The sequence below is a fragment of the Homo sapiens genome, chromosome 18 (genome assembly GCF_000001405.40).
Source record: "Homo sapiens chromosome 18, GRCh38.p14 Primary Assembly".
In the NCBI taxonomy this organism is placed as follows: domain Eukaryota; kingdom Metazoa; phylum Chordata; class Mammalia; order Primates; family Hominidae; genus Homo; species Homo sapiens.
Genome location: NC_000018.10, coordinates 79235176 through 79261081, shown reverse-complemented (window position 1 = coordinate 79261081; position 25906 = coordinate 79235176). Strand labels below are relative to the sequence as shown.

At 42.2% G+C, this 25906-nt stretch overlaps 1 protein-coding gene across 36 annotated transcripts in view, besides 4 other annotated features; it reads right to left on the bottom strand.

Annotated features, from left to right (window-relative positions):
• Positions 1 to 25906, bottom strand: part of ATP9B (ATPase phospholipid transporting 9B (putative)) — a 308890-nt gene that overhangs the window by 117202 nt on the left and 165782 nt on the right. For all 36 annotated transcript variants that reach the window (NR_148360.2, XM_017025726.2, XM_011525963.3 and 33 more), the window contains one exon: positions 7541 to 7701. Coding sequence is in view for 35 of the 36 variants with exons in the window: in XM_017025726.2 (XP_016881215.1) it covers positions 7541 to 7701 (161 nt within the window). In the remaining variant the exon portion in view is untranslated. The remainder of the gene's footprint in view (positions 1 to 7540; positions 7702 to 25906) is intronic.
• Positions 10287 to 11073: an enhancer, noted in NCBI's record as "VISTA enhancer hs775". NCBI's record gives its function as "enhancer in: forebrain[3/4]" and the evidence as "EXISTENCE:transgenic organism evidence [ECO:0001131][PMID:17130149]".
• Positions 14292 to 14501: a silencer, noted in NCBI's record as "silent region_9569". NCBI's record gives its function as "represses an Ori minimal core promoter by ATAC-STARR-seq in GM12878 lymphoblastoid cells {active_cell/tissue: GM12878}" and the evidence as "EXISTENCE:reporter gene assay evidence [ECO:0000049][PMID:35858748]".
• Positions 14563 to 15762: an enhancer, noted in NCBI's record as "MED14-independent group 3 enhancer chr18:77005320-77006519 (GRCh37/hg19 assembly coordinates)". NCBI's record gives its function as "activates an origin of replication core promoter dependent on BRD2, BRD4, P300/CBP and CDK7 cofactors, and independent of MED14, by STARR-seq in HCT116 cells {active_cell/tissue: HCT116}" and the evidence as "EXISTENCE:reporter gene assay evidence [ECO:0000049][PMID:35650434]".
• Positions 25236 to 25436: a silencer, noted in NCBI's record as "peak3193 fragment used in MPRA reporter construct". NCBI's record gives its function as "represses an SCP1 promoter by STARR-seq MPRAs in K562 erythroleukemia cells {active_cell/tissue: K562}" and the evidence as "EXISTENCE:reporter gene assay evidence [ECO:0000049][PMID:32103011]".

Sequence of the window (25906 nt, the reverse complement as noted above, 5' to 3'; positions counted from 1 at the left end):
TCTAAACCATCTAAATTTGGCACGGGTGAGACACTGGCCATGGTCCATGCTGGGACCTAAGTTCCTCTCCACCTGTGGACCCTGTGAAACTAGAAAACAAGCTATCTGCTCCCAAAATACAGTGGTGGGACAAGGATAAATAGGTATTTCCATTCCAAATGGGAGAAACTGGAAGGAATACAAGATCACTGATCCCAAGCAAGTTTGAAATTCAGCAAGGCAAACTGTTAAGTTTCGAGAGCTGAGAATAATAGAAGAACTGTGTCTCAGTGCTCTGCCCTTAGGCTGGCAGCTCCATGGCCTCTGCACTGCTCATGCCAATTTTGACCTTGGGGTCATTCTTCCTCTTTCTGAAAGGGAGCACATGCTTGCAGCCAGTAGCTCTATCAAGCTGTTTCCTGCCTGTAAGATTCTGGGAGTCCAACAGGCTTCTCTCATCTCATCCTGTCTCTGTTCCTTTAGGTCAAGCTGGTAGTTTCTGCTGATAAAACATGATGGGTCTCCTGTGCATATCCTGAGAGTCCACACTATCAGAAAACAGACTCCAACACAGATCCTTCTTGGATAACCCATCTCTACTCCTGGTTTCTGCAGAGTTGCTGAGTAGATCCTTTAGTCAGCCCCTGAAATGGTCTGGCTCTGTGTCCCCACCCGAATCTCATCTCGAATTGTACTCCCCGTGTGTAGAGGGAGATGGGTGACTGGATCATGGGGGCGGTTTCCTCCATGCTGTTCTCGTGATAATGAGTGAGTTCTCATGCGTTCTGATGGTTTGATGAGTGTGGGATGGTTCCTCCTTCACATGCTCACACTTTCTCCTGCTGCCTTGTGAAGGTGACTTGTGAAGGTGACTACTTCCCCTTCCGCCATGATTGCAAGTTTCCTGGGGCCTCCTTAGCCATGCAGAACTGTGAGTCAATTCAACCTCCTTTGTTCATCAATTACCCAGTCTAGTATAGTATCTTCACAGCAGGGTGAGAACGGACTAACACCTGCCCCTAATCTATCTCTTCAAAGAGCAAAACGCCACCTGGACACACCCTTGGTGAATGCTTTCCAAACAGTGAATCTCCCAATATTAGCATTTTATGTGATCTGGATAGGCTCCAAATTTTCCAAATCATCAATACCTGAATATCAAATCTAGGTCTAAAGAAGTTGAAAACACTCTTTTCACCAAGCATTCTACCTGGAAAATGAGGTCTTACTAAAGATGTTTGGTAAATTAGCAAAAACCTGTAAAATGTCACAGAAAGGGTACCTAACCGAAAAGTAACCTGATAAAGCTCTTAAAAGTTTTCCTTCAGAAAAGTTCTCTCCTAAATCCAGGAGCAATGACTGCTGTGCCTGTGCTGCCTGACACTTTTGGTCTTCCATCTGGGGGTGTGCTGACTGCACAGAGCACTTGGGGTCCCTGGTCCGTCTGCTCTGGAAGCGCACAGGCAAGCATCCCCACGCTCACTGGGTTGGAGGCTAGACCCTTGGTAAATGAGAGGAAACCCTGTCCCTAAGCCACACAAACACCCTTCACCTTCAGTGCTTTCAACAAAGCCACTGTATTTACAAGAGGTTCTTCAGTGTTCTCAGAAGGAACACCTTTATCACTTTGTCAAACAACATTCTGCCTCTAGCACCCACATATGCCTCATGTGGGAGTAAAAACACTCTGACCCAGCACTGATAAGACAGTTTTTGCATTATCAACTACAATGGTATATAGCATTTCAAAGCATACGGACGAAAGAGTTAATAAAGAGGGAAGTAACTGCAAGTCCCTGACCTCAGAGAACTTTAAATGAATACAGAATTCTGATCATCAGTTTTCCTTTTCTTATGAGAGATGCACAGGATTTAGGGAACATATATGAATTTTAGAATTACAAAAGTCAACGTTAAATACTATAATATTTTCCTCTGAAATTTACAAGGTAAATTGTATCAAGTAGCTCAAAATATTTTACTTCATACAGAGGAATTTTTATAAAACAGCTTAACTTTCTTAAATTTGAAAAGCCTTTTAAGAGTGTTAGGACAACAGATTTGTATACTGTGCAAAACCAAAACATATTTTAGAAGTCTTACCCTTTATTCAATCCAAAAGCATATTTAGCAAATACTAGAATGTATCATTATTCATATTTTACGGAAAATTTGCAAAAGGAAAACAAACTTGGCTTTAATAAAATGTGAACTTTAATTTCCCAAATCAGTGTCCTGTGCTTTTGACATCAACGGTTCTCATCCCTGCGTGCACCCTGTGTAACTGCATCCTGAGTGAGAGAAACATGGTAGAGCCTTGTGTTGAAGTGGGTGTGAGATGTTCTGGAGCTAAACAGAGGGGAACTGACAGTTCTGCTTCGTAAGTCTCTCCAAGCATGACTGAACATGCTAAACATAAAACAGCTGACTGAAAAACTAGAGCAAGAGAGACCCGCAGAAAGCCGGCTATCATCCTCATTTTCTAAGCAGACACTAGAAAAGGATACACAGACTTCACCTGGGGTGTGGGTGTTGTATGTAGATATAAATATGCATAGTCATATTTGTAAGTCTGTATAAACACATTGGAAAGGTTTGACAGAATTTAAGTGGAGACAGCAGGATTACAGATAATACTTATCTTCTTCTCTTATTATTATTATTTTTTCTTTCGAGAGAGGCTCTTGCTCTGCTGCTCAGGCTGGAGTGCAGTGGTGTGATCTTGGCTCACTGCAGCCTCAACCTCCTGGGCTAAAGCAATCCTCCCGCCTCAGCCTCCCAACTAGCTAGGACTACAGGCGCATGCCACCATGCTTGGTTAATTTTTGTTTTTGTTTTTTGGAGAGACCAGGTTTCACCATGTTGCCCATGCTGGTCTCTAACTCCTGGACTCAAGCTATCAGCCTGCCCTATTTTCTATTTTGTTTTACTATAAATACATATAATTACTGAGGTATGAAAACAAAAATTAGTTTTAGTTAAAAAATGCTTATTGCGTAAACTAATTTTCATAACTATAATTAATTTTTCTTGGCAACTGGATAAAGGTAAAAGGTCAAATCTTTCTATGTTATTTTACTAAAGAAAGAAGTGGTTGGAGATAGTCCATATAAATAAAATATTTCACTAAAATGTAATAAAAGTCTCAATACTCTTCAATGCTGTCAGTTAAAGACAGAGGTGCCCTAGATACAAAAGGAAGCAAAGCTCTCATTAGGCCTTTTACGTGGTGAAAGAGAAGCAGTCTTGAAAGGAACATCATGTGACATTCTAGAACTGAAAGAAATCAACTGACATTAAGAAAAATCAAATTAATGAAAGCAAAGAAGAAAAAGGAATTCCTAGAAAAAGATGTGTTTGCTGGACAGAGATGGGAGCAGGCGCCCTGTGCTGGAGGCTGGGGAGGCTGAGCTGGAGTGCACTTGTGCCAGCCACAGGCCGTCTCTGCTGTGCTGGGACAATGTGCTTTCTCTGCCAAGACATTTTCCCCAGGTCTTCCACGGTGGCCTCACCATGCAGCCTGCCGCTTAATAAACACCAGGCCAGGGAAGCCCCACATTGCTCTGAAGCCCTGCAAGGTTCTCTCTGTTCCAGTGCCCGGTTTGACTTTACTAACAGTGTTTACCACTATGTAACTGTTTCGTTTAAATGCTTATGCCTATCCCCTCCAATTAAGAAGAGGCCAAGGGCACTGGATGGCCTGCCCATTTGCTCTGTGTCAGCAGGGGCCGGTGCATCAGCTTTGACTATTTACTGACAACACTTACCTTGCTGCCTTGTATTGTTTCTTTCTTTTTTTGAGACAGAGTTTTGTTCTTTTGCCTGCCCAGGCTGGAGTGCAGTGGCACGGTCTCAGCTCACTGCAACCTCTGCCTCCTGGGTTCAAGTGATTCTCCTGCCTCAGCCTCTCAAGTAGGTGGGATTACAGGTGTGTGCCACCATGCCCCGCTAATTTTTGTATTTTTTGTAGAGACGGGGTTCCATCATGATGGCCAGGCTAGTCCCAAACTCCTGACCTCAGGTGATCCACCTGCCTCAGCCTCCGAAAGTACTAGGATTACAGGCGTGAGCCCCTGCGCCCGGCCAAGATAAAAAGCAATAGGATTGAATGTGAATAATACGCACTGTATTTTCCAAGTCTTACTTCAAACATAATCATTAAGGTTATTCTTCTGTAAATGAAATTTACCCTGCTAAAAGCCCTTATCCTTTTTGAAAAAAGACTGATCAAGAATATGTAGGATGATTCGCTAGAAGCACCCTTTGACTACTGCAGTAATGCCAAGAAGGCTGCGGCCCGGAGGTCTAGTGCAAACACTGAGTATAAACCAAACAGGACAGCAAAATGAAAGCAAATGTCGACTAAATAAAGCATGTAAGTGGATGGGAGAGGGAAGATGAGCTGACTTAAAATATTTTAAGGTCTTAGCATTGATTGAGAGGAGAGTAAAGATAAAGCTTAACTTTAAACTTTACTAAATATTATATATTAAATATGTAAAATTTCTAAGGAAACCACAATAATAGAAATATAGGGTATCACTTCAAGTTAAAAGAAAAAATGGAATTTAAAAAACTCCAAAGATTGCAAGAAAGAAAAATAAATATAGAAGTAAAACAAACAGCAAAAACAAGGTGACATAAATTAATGCAAATAAAGTATTAATCACAGTAAGTGTAAAGATGGTAGCATGGGATTTAAGAAAACACCACTACCACCTAGCTAATGCTGTTTATAAGAGATTTTCATTCACCAGAATAATAAGAGCTATTCTAAACCTATAGGCAACTAATAACATAGCCTCACTATGTATGTATATATATATATATATATATATATATATAGCTAGCTAGAATTCACAAAATGGCATGGGAAAATAGACAAATTCATTATTATGGTGACAGATTTGCACACTCTCAGTAACTAAAAAGTTAAGGAGTTTTTTAAAAAAAAGACAGTAAAGCACATACATGATATTAAAAATTAAAGATCAATCTAATGGATATTTATAGAATAACTTCATGTAAAAAAATATATATTTTTAAAGCACACATGGAATATTTATAAAATGACCATGTACCAATCCACAAAGCAAGTGGTAACGAAAACAACATGCTATGAGGCTCTGGAAGCAACTTGCAGGAGAAGAATCCCAAACACGTTCTGTGTCATGAAGCTCTAATAAAAATGAATGCATAACCTAATATAACCCAAAAAGCAGTATCTCAGAAGTGTCTATCAACATATTTTGGGAGTTGGAATACATTTGCTCCACAGGAGAAAAATACACCACCCTTGAGACAGGTTCTCAAGCTGGCACAAACATGCATATGTGCCCCTCTATGTGCCTTACGTGGAGCTACTGAGAACCAGAGACTCGACCCCATTCGTCAGAAGGTCTTTGAGTGAGCAAGGCTGCAGTGTCAGGAGGGGCTCACTGCAGCTCTAGGAGCAGAAGCAGCTCCTCCATCTGAGTCAGTCACTGCAGCCTGCTTTGCCTGAGACAGGCATTCCAGCTGGCAGAAACTAAGAAAAGCAGGTGAAATGTCTTATCTCCTCCTTCACTTGATGGCTAACCTATCTTCTCACACGACACTGGACAATACAACAATGGAGATTAGGGCTCATTCATGTGTATGGAGACAAAGGAGACTCTTGGGGAGTGGGTGGCATCAAATGGAGGAAGCTGGTGGAGAGAAGATGCAATGTGTGAAGGGCCTGGGATCAAAGTGAGTGCTTAGGCTGAACAACAAATGAGAACTACCTGAAGGACCATCACATCTGAAGAAGTAAATTCTGGCATGACAGTCAGATAAAAAAGGCAGGTTACTTTCTGGTTATAGTTTGTTTATTGCCACTTAGCCAGTGGGCGGGGGGTATTTTGAGGACAAAGATTGTGTCTCCAGAGTCCACCTGTGGCACTCAATACATGCCGGCACAAGAACTGTGACAATCTGCGCTCGGGTCCTCTGAGCAGGATGGGGCCTTTGTAATGGGTCCATTCAACAAATACTTACAGAGGCCCTACCACATCCCAAGCGTGCTCCGTTCTAGGTCCTAACTAGGACACAACAACAAACGGGACATACAAGGCCTCTATTCTCACAGGGCTTAGTGAGAAGAGAGAAACAGGCAACAAACAAGATGAATGTCATAGAGATCTACACAGAATTCAATAGGCTGCTATGATAGCAAGTGGCTGGCTGTTTCTTGGTCTGTACTGAGCAGACAAACGCAGCCTCTCTGAGGAAAGGTATTTAGGGTAAGAGCCGAGTGACAAGACAAGCCCAGCCATGGAATGATGAGGTAGAGGAGCACTGAAGCAGAGGACACAGCTAGGGTGGGAAGCAGCTGGCACATGGGGATAGCTGCAGTGTGGTGGGAGAGGAGAGCGGGGAAGCTGGGCCTTATTAGGTTTAATCCACAAGCCAGGCTGGAACAGCCATCTCTGCAGTCAGCTTTATGGAGTGCAGAAAATCTATGTCAGCAGCAAGTTACACAGCCGCAATGAGAAGTTGCTATTTGCTGCGTGCTCTCTGCACAGGCCTGGCCACCCGTGAACCAGCAACACCATGGAAGGCAGCATCCACAGGAATCTGTACTGTGACGGGCAGAAAGGAGGCTGATTTCCTACCTCTCGAACAGACTGGGTGAGAGCAACTGGATTCATTCCTGGTGACTGCCTGTGAGGGCAGTGCAGTGTGTACACATCCCAAGAACAGATTATAGCTCTGACTTTATGACGTAAGTAAATGGAAGAGACATCACCTTTTAGAGCAAATTTTGGAGAAAGCTGGTTTAGAAATAGAGATATCTTTCTCTTCAAAGTGGCTACATCCTTGAGCCTAAGCATTCTATACCGTTTTAGTCCATTCTCTGTTACAAAAGGTAGATATTCTAGATTCATACTTTATCCATCATTAGGTTTCAGTTGCTCATTCCTATGAAAATTTTAAATCATATATATTAAGAATATCTTTCTTAAAATATTTTAGAAAATAGTTTAAAATGGATTTATGTTTATATGGTAAAATATTAGTCTTTACATTAAATAGGCATCTAATATGAACTATTTATATTCCAATCTGTAGTTATAATATAGGTTAACATTCTGAAATGATAGTCCCTACTAAAACACAGCCTTAATATTTTATCTAACTTGACAGATATTAGATATATTAAACAGAACTTTAAAATGCCAGTGATTCCACACAGATCAAAGGGCACTGGACATTTAAAAGTCTATCAGCAAAAAACAAAACTAATTTTGTGAAATTCTGGTTTATGTTTCATCAGGAAATATCTTCTGATTGTTGAAGAAGACACCATCAACACATTCACTATCAGGAAAGTATGGCACCTCTAGATCATTCTACCGGCACTGATGACGTCTCCCCCAACAACATTTCCACAGAAGAATTCCTCAAGATTCCTCAGAACTTCTGGCTCCTACTTCTCTAGCTTTGTTTGGGTAATTTCTTTCATACTGAGAAAGATAAATTCAATAAAATCATACTCAATGAAACCAGACATTTGTTTTATTTTCATTTTTAAACTTACCTTATGGGAATGATGTAAGAAAAGAGGAGAAGGAACCGAAAAAGATTGCGGTACCATGGACCCACAAATCCTTGTAAGGTTACCATAACAATGGAAAGAGCAACTAAAGCCAAAAATAGCGCTTTCGTCAGCCGATTGAGTTCAAGGTCCAACAAACCAACCTGAAAGAAAAACACATAATACATGAACAAGCTAACCACAATGTCCCTAATATTATAAATCAGAATGCATGGTAGTGATGACATAAAAAAAAAACTTTAAAATTTATTGGTATTAGCCTTTATTATAATGAAATATGAAAATTCAGGCAGAATTTCTAGAAATGAATCATGATCCCCAGAGCATTTCCAGAAAGGGTCTACTGACAAAACACGGGCCAGAGCACACAGCCGCAGTGAACTCAGACACGGCCTCTGGAGGGTGGCGCGCTGGTCACCGGCTCAGGCAAAGTGAAACGCAAGCCTAGAGAAGGGCACTGGAAGCTTGCTCGGCGCGCAGCAGGGGAACACAGAGTTCTGAGGGCCCAGCCCGGGAACAGAGACTTCTGAGGGCGCAGGCGGGTCTTCCTTGCATGTGCTACGCCATGACCATGCCTCTGTTATCCGTGTGGGTGCCTCTGCACCTCCCCCATGAGGATTCTACTCAAGATGGAGAGTTCCCAAGAACAGGACAGTATGTATGTCTTTCCGATCTACCAGCAGTCTCTCTGAAAGAACTTGTCTTACAGAAAAAAAAAAAAAAAAAGCAATAGTTAGCTAGCTTAAAATAAAACCTTTTTAATTTGCACAGATCTTACATTGTGTGTTCTCCCAGTAAGGCACGCTACATGCAAGTCCATTCTATGGATCGTTTACCAGCTGAGCAAACTGTGAGGGCAAATTATGTCAATAAGCATCAGTTCAATTTTTTGGCTGCATTCTGTATAGGATCTTGGAAACAGAGAGAACTAGCAACCCAAGCAGCTCTCACTGCACAAGTTAAGAGAATACAGCTCTTCTGAAGCATGTAGCTTCAATTTCGAGCTCTAGCAATCGCTATGGACTGTTTCTCCTTGCTTGCTTTCAGCCCTGAAAGACCACAAGGCAGTCCAGTGAGTAGGGCTGGGGGAATGAGAGGGAACTCGGCGCTGCAGGAAGGGTGGGAGAAGTGACACAGCACAGCAACTAGGATTCCTCGGGACTCTGGATTTAGGCTAATTTAGATGCTGGCCCTGCCACTTAGCGGCATAACCTTGGGCAAGCTGGGCTTTGGTTTTCTTATCTGTAAAATAGGGATTCTGGGATGTTTTCCTTACAGCCCCCAGGGGATGCGAAGAGGGAGCGCATGGCACAGTGGCCACGGTTCCTACTGGGCAGTACGCCCCCCATGTGTGCTGCTACTGCTCTTACTACACACTTGGATTGGAATCCACTTCCTCTGTTTACTAAATGTGTGACTTGAGGAACACCCTTAAACTCTTTGTTAGACCTCGTTTTCCTCATCTGTAAGTGGTGGTACCCACAGGGCAGAGGTGCCAGGGTGAGAGGCCACTGCCTTTGGCATCACTAGGTCAGGGAACAGCATGTACTTAACTTACCTACTTATTTCTGATCTATGTGACATTAGCGGAAGACTAAATTCTATCAGGTTAGTTATCTATCTGCCATCTCAATTTCTCCTGAATCTGGAACAACTTTTGAAAAGGAGTACACAAAGAAAACATGACTGCAAAAAACCTGATTAAAAAAAATAAAGTTTGAGAATTACTGAGCTAATAAATAACTTGGTTTATTTTGTAGTGCCTTTTGAAAAATCTGCAACTTTGCCCAATAGAAAGCTAGCCTTTTCCCACAACTCATATATTTAGTTTATATCTGGTTTTGATTAATATTTTCCACAAACTCTCATGAGATCATCAGAACCTGCAGTTATCAAGCAAAAATAAAACTTTGTCAGAAAGTCCATTAAGTGCAGCTGCGAAGAAAAGTCAACTAATTAAACAAATAAATTGAAATGTCTACTACATTTTGTGCTAAACTCTAAGGTTATGAAAATAAGCTAACTATAAGATTTTACCTACAAGCTAATCTAGTAGGAGAAATAAGATGAACACCAGTGATCTATGTTATAAAACAGAATCATAAAATAGTAAGTTTTCTTTTCTAACCAGGCTTGTTTTAAATCACTTCCTGTGGCCGACAGTCAGCACTACCATCGGTTAATAAATACTTCATGGCCTTTCACAACAGTAGCGATGACAAGGACCCTAAAGCCATGGGACTGGTGTGCCGAGTGTGGGTTCCATGACCAACACAGACGGGATGCCGCATTCAGCGGGGTGGGGCGGCCCCTCCTGTGATCTGTCCTGCGCACACTGCCACAGGGCTCACTTGGCCACTTCACTGTGTAAGACTCCTGAGGACACTTCAAACACAAAGTGTCAGTTTTATATGAAATAGTGACTTGATTCTAATGTAACAATTAATGAGACACTTGGCCTGCCACAAAAACTCTTCTCCATGTTGCAATACAGCAACACAGACAGCAGCTCATTTTCAACAGAAACTCTTCAAAGACTGCACATTCCCAGCTCTATATTCTCCCAAGAAAGCACACTGCCCTCTAATTCACAGCAGCAGATCCCCTTCTAGCCAAGTAAAACGTCCACAGCAGCATCTCGGAGCTCCAGCATGGGGCTTTCTCTTCTCTGGGTCAGCCACAGTACCAGTAACAGCGCCGCTCCCCCAGATCACAAATGGTCGGAAAGGGAGCGGTACTCAACCAGTTCTGAAGTTCCCAACGCTGCTGCGGGTATGGGCTGTGCCTTCCCTTGAGAATGGGGCAGCTGAAGACCACAGCGGCTGATTTATCAGCTCTATTTAAAAAGCAGCACAACCAGGACAAATATCGTGCAATTTCCGCTACTTCAACTACTACATAGTTTATGCTTGAATTATTGAGAAAAATAGGTTTTTGGATTAAAATGAAGAAAAATTAAGCCAGGGAAGTAGAGCATGTTTCAAAGCCCAGATCCTTTTGCTGTGACAAAGGCGGTCTAAGTTTCAGGCCTCACTGAGGATCAGATGAAGTCATTATTCATTCACTCAGGGAAAAAAGACTCAATTACCTCAACCTAAAGATGCTATCAATGAATGCAAAGTGCATATTTTACTCTATTCATCCAAATCCCATTAAAAAGTGAAAGGAATGATTTAATCTGGCCTTCCAGAGTTGGTCTTTTTTTGTAATAAAATAAAGAATCACTGTCTTGCAAAATGCATAACCACCACCTCACACTTTCCCCTGCAACATAGCAGTGAGGAACTGTAAAAGCCAGGACAAAAACATTCAGAAATGAATACAAAGTTTCCTTTCAAAAAATGCCACGTATTGGATGGAAACATTCAAAGCCGCCCACTGCACACCGATATGCAGATCATCAAAGCATTATTACCTTTCTCATTGATGAAGACAGATGTGGTCAGATGCTTGACTAGTGAATGTAATCACTTTGAAGCCAAGTATATGTTGTCTTCTCCCAACCCCTTTAAACTTAAGAGCAATAAAACATTTAGTGGAATAAAATATAACTTTTCAAGGATGGGCTGTGCCTTGCAGGTGGCATTTTCTGAACTATGACTGTTGTTCCTGGAATATAACTTGTAACCAAACTACAGCATATAGTGTAAAGCTTGTAGGTTGCTTTTATTTTATTTTATTTTTTCAATTCTAACAAAACAGAAGAAAAGACACATTTCAACACTTGCATTTTTTTAACCCACTTCAATTAATAATCTTTTAATATTCAATTTCTCTGAAACATGCTTTTCTTCAACTGATCTAAAATACAATCTGAACTCTTATAAACTATTTAAAATAAAAACCAGTTAACTTATAAAGTTACAGATTCTATAAAGAAGGTGGTAACTTTAGTTTTGATGTGGATCTCTTCCTTCTTTAAAAAATGTCTTAAATACCTGGACAGACCAGATAACTTTTGCCATGACTGTAAACTTTTCACCCATAAAATATATTAATCACTTGAAGTAATTACGACTATTTAAGAAAAGGTAATGTAAATACACTTAGAAGTTATTTTCAACATTCATTGTCATCTCCTATATTAGTAAAGCAAATTTTCTTCTACTTGTCATAATATTTATTTGAAACAACTGCAATAACAAAATTAAATATGCTACTGCAAATTTTAATCTCCAAGGGAAAATTTGTGCATAATGTCTAAGACAACCACAATGATTCTGCAAAGGGGCTGTTCTAGGATAATGAACACAATAATTGCCTGTATAATCTAAAATGCTACTAATGGCAACGATCACAAATCCATTTAGCTCCTCTTTAATTTATGTACCAAGTTTTAAATAGCTAATGGTTCTCAGTAAAATAATGGTTTATACCAACAATAAAGGGTAAATACGGTATTCTCCTGCTTAATCAAGAAAAGATCAGGCTTTTTTTTTTTTTTAAATGAATGCTCGGACGAGTGAGAATCAGACCTTATCTCCATGACACAGCAACACTTCAAACCATCTCAAAATTAAAACTCACATCATACTACTAAGTTCCTAAGCAATCAATGTACACGGCAAATTGGAGCAGACGTCGAATGCTGTAAAGTCTCAGGCCCTATCCATGATTCAACAAAGTGCCTGTGCAACACTTACTGCTGATGATGTCACCCTGGGTGAACAGGATGTCGGCATCCAAACACTCTCACCCATCTTTTAAAACTCACGCGTACTTACCCCTTACAAAGAAGTAGTTTAGAATAGTAAAATGCAAAACTTCAAATAGCCAATTTAAACTCTTGCAGAAAACTAAATTATTTTAGTTTGTCCTGTAGTTTCCCTGTGAATATAGGACAATTTGAAAAGCCTCGACTCTGACACCCAATTCATTCATGCTACTCTGCACTAGCAGAGAAGAACAGCTTTGTACATGGCTGACTACGTACAGAAAAACACAACTGTTAACACTGCTTGTCTTTCATCAGCTGAACTATTTGTGGATCAGTTCTTCATTTCGAATTTGGACCCTGACTACAAAACTGATATAGGGCTATGCATTAACCTAACTGAAATTCCTATAAAAAGCATATTCTTTTAAGTATCTTTGAAACAAATAAGCCCTATATTTTCCACTGCTAGTAGAATCTTAAGAGACAAGAAAAAAATAAGTAATTTTCAGACCTTCATTTGTGTTTCTGCATTTCAAATAAATGAAACTCATGCACTAAATCTAAGTACTAAATTTTAGAGCAACAACTTTTCCATTACGAAGTTTAAATTAAAAGTATTAGTTTTTAAAAAGTGATGCTACATAGTCTTTTTCCTTCTGAAGTTTATTATTCTTTTTTGGATATGAACTACTAAGCCTTAAGTGTGTGTAGTACATGCAGGCTGACCGCACACTATAGATGTGGCTGAGCCATTATCGTTTATCGCCTCAGTGATCTGCGAAATAAGAAGGGTTTCTTTTGGCCATTATAGTCTGTTGGCTCAATAATCTGTGCTTTAAGAATTCCCTAAATAAGTATCAGCACAACAATTCTTAATGTTACAATTTATCACCTTAGTTCTTAAAAATCAAAACCTGTATTTACACAATAGACAATTTAAAGTCTATTCTGAAAGAATTATTTCATAACCTACATGTTTGCCTACCAAGAAATTTAACATTTTGCCTATTCTATACTCAGAATTTAAGCTTTTTCCCTTGCTTGCTATATAGTTATTATATAAAATGTTTTCCCTTGAACATTAACATAAAAAAGTACTATATTTTTTGTATAAATAAGAAAAGTATTAATGCAAGAATCAGCTACTAAACAGGGAAGCAAAACCACGTTTGAAACCAACATATGACACGTAATTAAGAGACAAGGGAGTTCAAAGTAAACCCTCACACCTAGTTTACACAAACTGGAGCTACCCAACTTTTGATGTTACAGACTATGCATATTGATTGTCACTCTGTCCGCCGACCTATATAAACATGTTTTTAAGGATAAAATTATTACTAAAATTTGCAAGCATATTACCTGCTAAGTTTGAAGGGGGCTTCATGAGTGCAGAATGAGGTTATCTTCTCAAACTGCTGGACTCCTAGATCGCTTGAGAAATGTCAATACTGGCTCTAGCATTTCCTAGGACACGTATCCACTCACCAGAATTTTTTATAATTGTCCATAATGTCAGAAAGTAGCATCATCTCTGAACACATGTATACACATATACACATCTCATGCTCGCCCTTACAAAACTCATGCTGACTGTCTACGTTCATACAGGACAACTGGATTCCATCTGTTAGTGTGTGGCAGCCTTTACTGATATATTAGAACCTTCGCAAAGTAAATCAATATATGAAAGGTCAGCACATGCAAAGCAACACAGTGGCTGGAAGGTAAGTAGTAAGTTAAAACTTTTATTTTTAGTATTATAAATTCTTTCAAATGTTCTCAACTTGTGATACATCAAAGCCATATTTAAAACAAAAATATGCATGTGATAACATGCAAAATGATCCAGAAACTATCTGGAAATTTAATTTTTGCTCTACGTATAGAAATTACGTTAAAAATCCAGCACTGAATATTAAGATAAGCCTATCCATTTTCTAATGTACATCATTCCTAATCTTATTTTACAATCACCACATTGTTTAACTGAAAATCAGGAGGAGGAGGAGGCTGAAGTGTAGGAGTCACTACACTGCCGATCACCGCTGCGGTGCTCACGTCTGTCTCAGAGTCATCTGTCTCAGAGTCGTACTCACACCTCCCATAGGCGGCTGGGAGGGGAAGCCAGGGAGCGCGGGGAGCGCGGGGCGCGGCCAGCAGGGGGAGCGCGAGGCCGGCGCGCGTCCTGATCCCTGCAGTCCCGCTCTCTGGAAAGCGCCAGCCATTTCTAACCCAACCAGTCCAGCACATCACATACACTCACTCATTTATTTATTTCTGACAAAAAGCGTTACCCTAAATTTATGTTTTGTCACGCAGAATGCTGGCCAGAATCTACATACTTGAACATCCTGGATTATGGGGGGTAGGAAGGGGGCCCTGAATAAAAATCTGGCATCTCGTAAGATGCCCTAATTTCAAGACAGGACCTCGGAAATGCTGTGCACAGTCAGTAGGGCGGTGTCCTCCTCACAGTCAGTAGGGCGGTGCCCTCCTCAGTCAGTAGGGCGGTGCCCTCCGCACAGTCAGTAGGGCGGTGCCCTCCTCAGTCAGTAGGGCGGTGCCCTCCGCACAGACAGTAGGGCGGTGCCCTCCGCAGTCAGTAGGGTGGTGCCCTCCACACAGTCAGGGTGGTGCCCTCCTCAGTCAGTAGGGTGGTGCCCTCCGCACAGTCAGTAGGGCGGTGCCCTCCTCAGTCAGTAGGGCGGTGCCCTCCGCACAGACAGTAGGGCGGTGCCCTCCGCAGTCAGTAGGGTGGTGCCCTCCACACAGTCAGGGTGGTGCCCTCCTCAGTCAGTAGGGTGGTGCCCTCCGCACAGTCAGTAGGGCGGTGCCCTCCTCAGTCAGTAGGGCGGTGCCCTCCGCACAGACAGTAGGGCGGTGCCCTCCGCAGTCAGTAGGGTGGTGCCCTCCGCGCAGTCAGTAGGGTGGTGCCCTCCGCACAGTCAGTAGGGCGGTGCCCTCCTCAGTCAGTAGAGCGGTGCCCTCCGCACAGACAGTAGGGCGGTGCCCTCCGCAGTCAGTAGGGTGGTGCCCTCCTCAGTCAGTAGGGTGGTACCCTCCTCAGTCAGTAGGGTGGTGCCCTCCTCAGTCAGTAGGGCGGTGCCCTCCTCAGTCAGCAGGGCGGTGTCCTCCACACAGTCAGTAGGGCGGTACCCTCCGCACAGTCAGTAGGGCGGTGCCCTCCGCACAGTCACTAGGGCGGTACCCTCCTCAGTCAGTAGGGCGGTACCCTCCCCAGTCAGTAGGGTGGTACCCTCCGCACAGTCATTAGGGCGGTGCCCTCCGCACAGTCAGTAGGGCGGTGCCCTCCTCAGTCAGTAGGGTGGTGCCCTCCTAAGGCTTTTCGAAGTTTCAGAGCTAAAAACTAAGTTGATAACATTGTAACAACAGCTTCCTTAATGATTTCAAGATCCTGAACAGATTTACTGTTTTTTTTGTCTTAATGTAGGAAGGCATCAATTTTAAATGGTTTTGCCAAGACCAGCCACCAATTTAAAATAATTCCTTCAATAACGTAAGCTACCCACTAACACCAGAAACCTCAACATGCAACATCATTCATAGAAGTGGCATTTGGTTTTCAGTCTAATACACAGTTTATTTGGGTAATTTTATATTTATTTTAACAAGTATTTTACAAAGAGCATGAACCTATTCTCTAACCCTTACTATCTAAACACACAATACCCAGGACTTTAGGGGGGTTATAAAGCTCTCATTGTATTTTACAAACAAGCCAGCAAGCTCTGCAGGAACTCCAAGAAGAGCAGATCCTGACAGTGGGGGGTGGGAGGTCACTGGACCTCAGGGTCCCTAGGAGCCCAGGAGTTCTGACTGCTTCATGCTTCTTTACAAGGCACACACTCAAATACTTCTTGCCCCAAAGCATATAAAAAATAGATTCTATTCTAATAATAACTCTAAGTGGTACTGATATTGTAAAAGAAAGTCTCTTACTAGGAGTCATAAAACTTTAAGAGACATGGTAAGAAAGGGAAGACCATGGCTTTCTTTAAAATGATTTAAAATACAGAGCACGCATCTCCTTTCATTTTCTCAGTCTGTTTCTAATAGTACACACTGAAGAGACTATGCTCCTTACAAATCTTTCTTCTGGGAGGTATCTGCCTTTTTATTTTACCCTGAATGTAGCAAGTCTTTATTTTAAATATCTCAGGGTAGGGTAGAAACACTCTTAAAATATACTTTTAAATATTCATTACAGTATAATTTACAAAATATGTTGCTGAACAAAAAATCTTGTGTAGTACTAAAATGTCATCAGATTCTATTAAAAACTCATGAAGAAAGTTACTAAATATGTGGTCAGGGCTTCTAATGTCACAGTATTCCGAAATTCCCAAGCACAAGGTCTGTCTTTCCTTCAAAGAGCTTTGAACTCTTTTCAAGGAGCTTAAAAAAAAAATTAGTTGATGCGTTTCTAGTGTTCAGAATGTGAGATATTGAAGAAATTATTCCAGTAAGTACCTTGGAAATGTTGGGCCATAGATGGTGGGAAAAGGCTGTGATTCAGAAGAGAAAAATAGATGGGACCATTCCTTTCCACAAGCAAAGTGAGTCCTTGCAAATGTAGGTGCACAGGAGGGCAGGGGGGTGGCCCAGCAGACAGGCACCAGCCTAGCCCTCCTTCCATGGAGCCTGCCTGGAACATGGCCATGAAAACTGTGTTTTTAAAGAAACTGCGGAGAATAGAGGGGGCGGAGGGGGGGTAGTGGGGAGACTACTTTCCACCTGCTTATTTCTCTTATAAAATTTTAGAAAAGAGAATGGTTAAATGATTATTAGTAAACAAGATCACTAATTTTATAATTAAAACTTTAATTTCCAACTTAGATTATCTTTATTAAGAGGTAATGATACAGATTAGTTTCTACAGTAAAGTGAGAAATTTCTTCAGTAATTAATTTCAAAATGTTGGCATCCGAATTCTTGCTTTGGCATGCCAACAAGTATAACATATTTAATGGTTTGTGCAAGGGAATTTACTAAACAGTATCAGTGAAAAACATTTTTATGTGAGATTCCAGAAAGTCTGGTTTCATTAAGGCTACTTGAAACACTAAACATAGCATTTGAAGTTGCTAATTGTTCTTCTAACAGTATCTTAGAAACCACCACAAAATGACAATGATCAGGAAAATTCCTTAATGCTTAAGTGCTCAACTGTGGTCCAGCTGACTTCAGCATGTTTCCACCACCTTGATAACCTACATACAGGTGTATCAGAATCAGCACAGAAGAGATGTTACAGGACCTAGTCAAGGACACAAGGCTGTCACTGTCAAGTAACATGTCACACTCTCCTTCTGTGTTTCTTGGCTTATTGTGTAAATATGTGGGGATTTATAAGCCACTGGAAGATCTCCATCCCATTCTCCAGATATCTGGCACCTACCACTATGTAAAACTACTCAACACTATTTTTAAATCAAGAGCCATTAGCTGTCTTGACAAGACGTATGACTAAAATATTTGCTGATCAGAACTACAATCAGTATTCTATTTCATTCCCCTTGCAATTAAATGCATATTCACCTATTTATAATTATATTAAAAACATGAGGATATATAAAATGCTGACCAATGTCTGAAACACCTCAGAATTACTATCATCGTGAACAAAGTCACTAGGTTCTGTACATTTTCTGTTCCGCCCACACATCTGCTTAACTAGCTATTAACCAGAAGCTAATAATAGGTAAACGTTTTAATTTTTAAGGCAGAATAGCAGAATTGCAGACATAGAATAGCAAAGAAAGAGAAAGAAGAATGAAGGATAGTTATAGCAGTCTAATAGCTAACTTTGAATTACATCGTTTTCAAAAATCCATGGTTGTTAGGATTTGTATTCTTTTGTAAGGAAAATGAACTGGCAGATTTGCTGAGAATTTTAAATGATAAAGGTAATATGGTTAAATAAACTTTTCATCTTGCATAATCACCCTTTTATTATTAAAACTGTCTAAGAGGTTTATTACTGGTATCTTGGCAAAATGCAACATTATTTTAAACCATCTAAAATTTTTGTGTTACTTTATGTCTTCAGAGACACTTTATGAGCCATTTCATACTTAATGGCTTGTAAGCAATCCCAAGAGTTGAGAATTGTGTAAAAAGTTGCTCAGATTGACAGATAAAGTGAAAAGGTCTGTATTAATTTCCAAATAAAGAAATGCATGGCGTGGTATCACACGATGATTATACTCCAAAGTACCAATTAGAACGCATCAGAAACTAGAGCAAGTTGACACTCTACAATAAAGCAAATAATTTCCAGTTGGAGGGGCAGAAAATGTTAATATGCAATGTTCAAGACTACAAGAATCTTTGTAAAAGGAAGTAGCTAATAAGGTTTAATGATGCATGTCAGGAAGCCACAGTATGTAGGGAAACACAGCTGGCTTCATTTTGTAAACTATTTGATATACACATCTTTCTCGTTTGCGGTTATCAGCTGTGCAGTGCCACGGGGGACAGTTTAGACTTCAAATCAGGATATTCTTCTTGTTCTCTAAATTACAAGTAAAATACATTAATATAATATGGTGCTATAGGCTAGTGCCCTGACTATGGCTTATCAGTTTACGAAAGAGGATTAAAGAAGTCTTCCGTAAAATGTTGTGGAAACAATCTTGCCAGCCTAAACAGGCTACTAAGAATGAGAACCATTAAAACAAATCATAAAACAGACAAAACGCTTGGATTTAGCGAATTAATAACCCTCGCAAAATGGTCACCATTTTTCATACCTCAGGCATTAAAATAAAAACTGGCTGAAAATGCTCCTGCATGAGACCACAGGCCCACGGCGGTGCTCCCTCTCCTGCACACACAGGTGGGCCCAAGGAGGGGCCCGCTCTAAAGGCAGCAGCATCCCAGTGCTGAGGGACTCCAAAGTGCAGGTGACAGCAATTAGCAGCAGATGACAGCAGCCCTTGAATCTGTGCCAGATGGCAGCGAAGGGTCACTGGGAGCCATCAACCTTCCACAAGGAAGCCCTTGTGTTTGGCGACTATCAAACTCTAAAGCTCTTAGAAACAAACTAATTATTCAGCCAGCAGAAGACAACTGCTAGGTCACAACACTAATATCAGAATACCATTAAAGCACTTAGAGTGCACTTATTCTAAATGTAATTACACATATTAGCTGATAAAAACAGGCATGCTGCATAATGACGAAAAGGTTGCCCTAAACTCAAGGAGCTAAAATTCTAGTAATTAGTGAATTGTCTTGTGGCAAAATACAGTCAACAGGTTCTAACTTTGGATGAATGCTGCTTGTAGTTAGAGCTAGAAACAGCCACTTTCTAAGTGAGACTCTGTATGGAACCTGATCAGCACCCTGGCTGACGACGGAGGCCAGAAGAACCACAGAGAAAGAACGACATCTCTCAAGACAGACGATAGAGAAGCTGTGGGTCCTCACACTACGGGGGATCTAAGAAAAGCTTGAAAATCTCAGAGTCGTTTGTCAAGACTTCCTGCTCAAATGTTAAGTATCACCCTAGGTAGCGAGGCCATAACAGAGGAGGGGCAGCAAGAGAATGGAAAGGCTGCGGAATTCTCACACGGGACAAACCCATCTGTCCATGTTCTACACAGAGAAAAAAACGCAGTCAAAATGCTTGAGACAACCAAAAAAATCAATGCATAACTGATTTACCTTGATGAGACTAACTCCACACTAATAACTAATACATAAAACAGCTTAAGTTTTGGTTTAAATTTATTAACAAATTATAAGTGATTCATTTTTCCACCCTCATGACCACAAGCAGCTTACAACCCAATAGCCCTTTACAATTAACAAGTGCTGCTGTGTAATGTCTGTTATTCAGCCTTCCTAACTCTGCCAGGTCTTACTATGTCTATTCCACTTCTAAGGAGGTTAGGTGTTTGGTCAAGAACACACAGCTCATGGCAGCTTGGAGACCGAGCAGCTCCCCGTCCCCAACTTCAGTTCTGCATCCTTGGCCCGACACTGCCAAATGCCAAGGTTCCCAGGGCCCACTAGTATGCTTTAGAAGTGACATTATTTTTATTCTCAAAATTGGATGTCTCTGGTTGAACCTTCTTTTTCTGTTGTTTTTTGAGGCGGAGTTTCGCTCTTGTTGCCCAGGTTGCAGTAAAATGGCACGATCTCGGCTTCACCGCAACCTCCACCTCCCAGGTTCAAGCGATTCTCCTGCCTCAGCCTCTGGAGTAGCTGGGATTACAGGCATGCACCACCACACCCAGCTAATTTTGTATTTTTAGTAGAGACGGGGTTTGTCCATGTTGGTCAGACTGGTCTCGAACTCCTGCCCTCAGGTGATCCGCCTGCCTCAGCCTCCCAAAGTGCTGGCATTACAGGCGTGAGCCTGTGTCCGGCCAGAACTTTCCATTAACTACTCAAACTTCCATTAGGCTCATGAAATAAAAACAGGTTGAATTTTCTTTATCAAAATGTTTCTCTTTTACTATTTTTATTTGGATGTGGTAAAGCTCATGAAATAAAACAGGCTGAATTTTCTATATTAAAATTTTTTTCTTCTACCATTTTCATTTGGATGTGATAAAACTTCCTGCTCAACTGGTATCAATTACTGCCCTTCGAGAAAAGGAGAAGAGACTACATGAAATAATTTAATGTTGTAATCCAAATGACCTACCAAGGCAGTAGGCCCTTAACAGAGGGGAATATTGAGTCCAGCAAAGTCACTGAGGACAATGCCCTCACCTCACTTCGCCAGCTTCTACTGGAGCTTTCTAGCTGGAGGGCTCTCCTCCTGTGCTACCAAAGTGGGCTGCGCTGAGAACACTCTGGAGGGTTCCAGAGAGCGCAGGCAAGCTTGGGACTGCAGCTCTAGGAAGAGACCGCGGGTGTGGGGCCCCTGAGGCGTGGTGATCTGCTGGTCACCGCTGATGGGGACGCAGGCAGAGCAAGCCTCTCCGCTCATCCTTTGGGAACGCTTAGCCCTCAGGAACCATGCTCTCCCAGCCACATTCAGATGCCTCTTCAGTAACGCCTCCGTGTAATAATTAACTGATGATCAACCGCCCTCACAAAACAATGCTCTCGAGAAAACAGCAAGGTGAGAAAACACATTACTCCTAAAGGACTATCATGTAACTTACATGAAAGAAATTTACATGATAAAAGAAACTGCAGTCAAGTGCCTGAAATAAGCCCTGGTCCTCAGCTACCTCTTGCACAATGATGCATGCAGGGAAGCTGATTTTTCTTCCATTTCTTTTTACAAGCAGCATGGCACAATGCTAGACAATGGCGGCACAATGACTCCAGGTTGAAGGAAATCATCCTCTGAAGACAATTTTAAGTGCCGTGACACCATCGTCCTACGTCCCTGTCCCTGCCACAGCAGACTTGGCTGGCGGTGCTCATACCACAACCCACTCTGGGGCTTGGTTTTATGAGGATGGTTTGTGTACCTCCATGGGTGGGCTCACAGTGTCTGCAAGAAACACCATCATTTAATTTGGTTTGTTGTAAATTCCCAACCTCTCTGTTTTGGTTTCAAGATGCAGCACTTGTCATGAATTGTGGAGCGGTGGAAATAAGAGGGCTGAAGGGGCACACGCGGTGGTCCACAGTCCACAGTCCACCAGGGCCAGGCCCTGTCTCGCCCCAGACACCTCCCTGCATGCTTTCTGCAGCTCTTTCACACCATCCCACCTTGGATCTGGGCACATCTGTTCTCTGCCTGAGACGCCATCCTTCCTTCCCAGTTGACCCCGTTGTTTTGATGACTGGGGGTTGGGGCTCAGTGGCTGGAGGCTCTCCTTGAGCCTGCCTACCTGAGGCATGAAGCAGAGAAACAGTAACTGCTAATTTCAGTGCCAGTTGTGACCGTCTTCTCGTTCTTACTGACGTGATAAAAATATACCTATTTCTCCTTTGACCTGACTTGGTTCTTTCTGATTCTCCCACTTACTCTGAAATCTAAGCAGTGCGTCTGCGTCACTGCATCCGCTTCACTGCGTCCGCGTCACTGCCCATGTGGCCACTGCAGATATTTCCCTCTTTGGAAATCTATTAGCGGTTCCTCCATGATCACCACAGATCACCACCCCAACAGCAGGAGGAGGAGGAAAATCATACTCGCTGCCTGTCCATAGCTCGAGTTAGGGTAGAGACAGGAAGCGTGAAATCCAGGGCCCAGGACAGGCCGGGGCGCCACAGGCTGTGTCCACAGCTGCCGAGACAGCAGGGCCCACCATGGCGAATTGAGGAGAGCGCAGAACGGGGCTGGAGTAGGGTCTGAATCGCGATGACCACCTTAAGAGCCATCACCCTCCCAAGACCAGGGAGTACACGGAGGGGGCACAGAAATGGAGAAGCAACCTGGTCCTCAGAGTCCAGCTACAGCCCGGCCGGAACAGCAGCAGCCCACGCTGCTCCCAGGCAGGGGCCCTGCACATGCTCCTGATGTGTTCCTGGCCTGCACCGGAGACGTGATGCCCACAATCACCACCTCACGTAAGCCCCGGAACTGACCTCCCCACAGCCTTGAGATGACAGCAGCATTCGGACAACAGCAGTCACGAGATTATTGTGGAATTAGTTGCCAATGTTCTCATTCAAAAAAAAAAAAAAAGGATCACTTATCCAGTCATGGTAAATTTCAACATGACAGTACTCAACATCTGATTAGGATCTGTACTTAAAATGCAGAGTATATGAACTCAACATTTTTATTGTAGGCAATCAATTTGGAAATAAAATGCTTTCCTACTTTTAAAAATAAAAATACATCACCAAAATTTTTTTTTTATTTTTAAATAGCAGCAAACAGAATATAAAATTTTCTAAAAGATAATAATTGAAATAGCATCAAAAAATGTCAAAGCCAGGCACAGTGGCTCACATCTGTAATTCCAATACTTTGAGAAGCCATGGCTGGAGGATCACTTGAGGCCAGGACTCTGAGACCAGCCTAGGGAATACAGGAGGCCCAGTCTCTACAAAAAAATAAAAAATTAGCCAGGCATGATGGCATGTGCCTGTAGTCCCTCCCAGTTACTCAGGAAGCGGAGGTGTGAGGATGGCTTTGGCCCAGGAGGTTGAGGCTGCAGTGAGCAGTGATCATGCCACTGAAATCCAGCCCAGGTGACACAGTAAGACCTTGTCTTCCCCCACCCCCCCCCAAAAAAAAAAAAGTCAAATACTTAGAAATAAATCCAACAAAAGGTATACCAACCTCTACAGAGAACAATCATAAGACATTATTGAAAAATAAAGGAATACACAATATTCGTTGACTAAAAGACTTAATATTATAAAAATTAATTATCTCTGAAGATCTATAGACATTTAAATGCAATCCCTAACTCCCTACAGCAATTAAAAATTATTAGCAAAGAAAGGGATCAGCAGACCAATCACAGGAAAGGGCCCAGATGTGCACCCACTGTGCGTGGACACTGACTCATGCACAGACCGTGTACACAGTGGGGAAGGGGCAGGTGTGGACACTGACTCGTGCACGGACCGTGCACACAGTGGGGAAGGAGCAGGAGTGGACACTGACTCGTGCACGGACCGTGTACACAGTGGGGAAGGGGCAGGTGTGGACACTGACTCGTGCACGGACCGTGTACACAGTGGGGAAGGGGGAAGGGGCAGGTGTGGACACTGACTCGTGCACGGACTGTGTACACAGTGGGGAAGGGGGAAGGGGCAGGTGTGGACACTGACTCGTGCACGGACCGTGTACACAGTGGGGAAGGGGCAGGTGTGGACACTGACTCGTGCACGGACTGTGTACACAGTGGGGAAGGGGGAAGGGGCAGGTGTGGACACTGACTCGTGCACGGACCGTGTACACAGTGGGGAAGGGGCAGGTGTGGACACTGATTCATGCACGGACTGTGTACACAGTGGGGAAGGGGCAGGTGTGGACACTGACTCGTGCACGGACTGTGTACACAGTGGGGAAGGGGGAAGGGGCAGGTGTGGACACTGACTCGTGCACGGACCGTGTACACAGTGGGGAAGGGGCAGGTGTGGACACTGACTCGTGCACGGACCGTGTACACAGTGGGGAAGGGGCAGGTGTGGACACTGACTCGTGCACGGACCGTGCACACAGTGGGGAAGGGGCAGGTGTGGACACTGACTCCTGCACAGACCGTGCACACAGTGGGGAAGGGGCAGCCTTTCGACAATCACTTCTGGGTCAACTGGAAATCCACATAGGGGAAAAACAGAAAACTGGGTCCCTACTTCTTCTTATATACAAAAACCAATTCTAGATGTTTAGAAATGTAACAGAAAGGAAACAATAAAACTTCAGAAGACAATATGAGAGAGTATCTTCATGACCTACAGTGCAGAAATAGTTCTTAAACCATAAAAAAAAAAGGTTGATAAACAATGTTACAACTGAGAGTTGCTACTCATCAAAACACTATGAACAAAGTGAGAAGGCAACCAGCAGAGTGGGAGAAAATAACCCGGATATACAAAGAGCTCCTATACAACAGCCAGAAAGACTAACAATCCAATGGGAAAATGAGCTACGACTTTCATAGGAAATTCCCAAACCAAGACGTCCAGACACCCATGCCGATAAACACAGGAACAAACCTCATAATTCATCCAGAAAATGAAAACTAAAAACCCAATGAGATATCACCACATACTCACTAGAATGCTAAAATTAAAATAACGTAAGATAGACACTACAAGTGTGGACAAGATTATAGAGAAACTTGAGTTCTCTTGCTTGGCTGGGAAGAGTAAAAACCAGTACAACAATTTTAGAAGACCGGAATTATGTGAAATGAATACAGACACGCTATACGACCCAGGAATACCACTCGCTCGGTACACACCTTACAGGAGGCATGCAGACTGCACCAAGAGATCTGTATACACCATTCAGAGCAGAGGAATTCCTAAGAGCAAAAAGCCCAAAGAACCCAGAGATCAAAGATGTAGAAATCCGTGGCTGCATACAATTATGGCTTCCTCATATAACAGAAGACGATATAAAAATGTGCTGTGACACACAACGATGGGAAACTTCACATATGCCTATGACTACACACTAGATAAGAAGACGGTGGTCACCTTGGTGAGGAAGGGACACTCCCGGGAGCTGGGAGAATTCTACTTCACTAGATAAGATGGTGGTCACCTTGGTGAGGAGGGGACACTCCCGGGAGCTGGGAGAATTCTACTTCTTGACAAGTGTGACGCACCATGAGTGGGTGCTCGTTTTATGATGTTTAACTGAGCAGTACAAGTTTTAAAACGTGTGCACTTTTGTTCATCACTGTTGTCAATAATATAAAAAACAAAAACCAAAAAGTGTCACAGAAAACAAGTATTATAATTGTTATTACGCAAAATTCAAATACTGACCGTCAATAATATAAAAAACAAAAACCAAAAAGTGTCACAGAAAACAAGTATTATAATTGTTATTATGTAAAATTCAAATACTGACCAAAAGCTTCACAGCTGAATGGGAGTCTAGTTTATATTGCTCTATGGCTTACGATAGAAAGTGTTAGTAATATGATATGTGGAGGAAGGTTATTTTACAAGAGAATTAAATTGGAGTAAAACTGGACTTAATGTCTTATAAGCTACAAAATAAAGAACATTTCTGAAACTTCAGAAAATGAGAGACTGATGAAGTTATATACAATAAG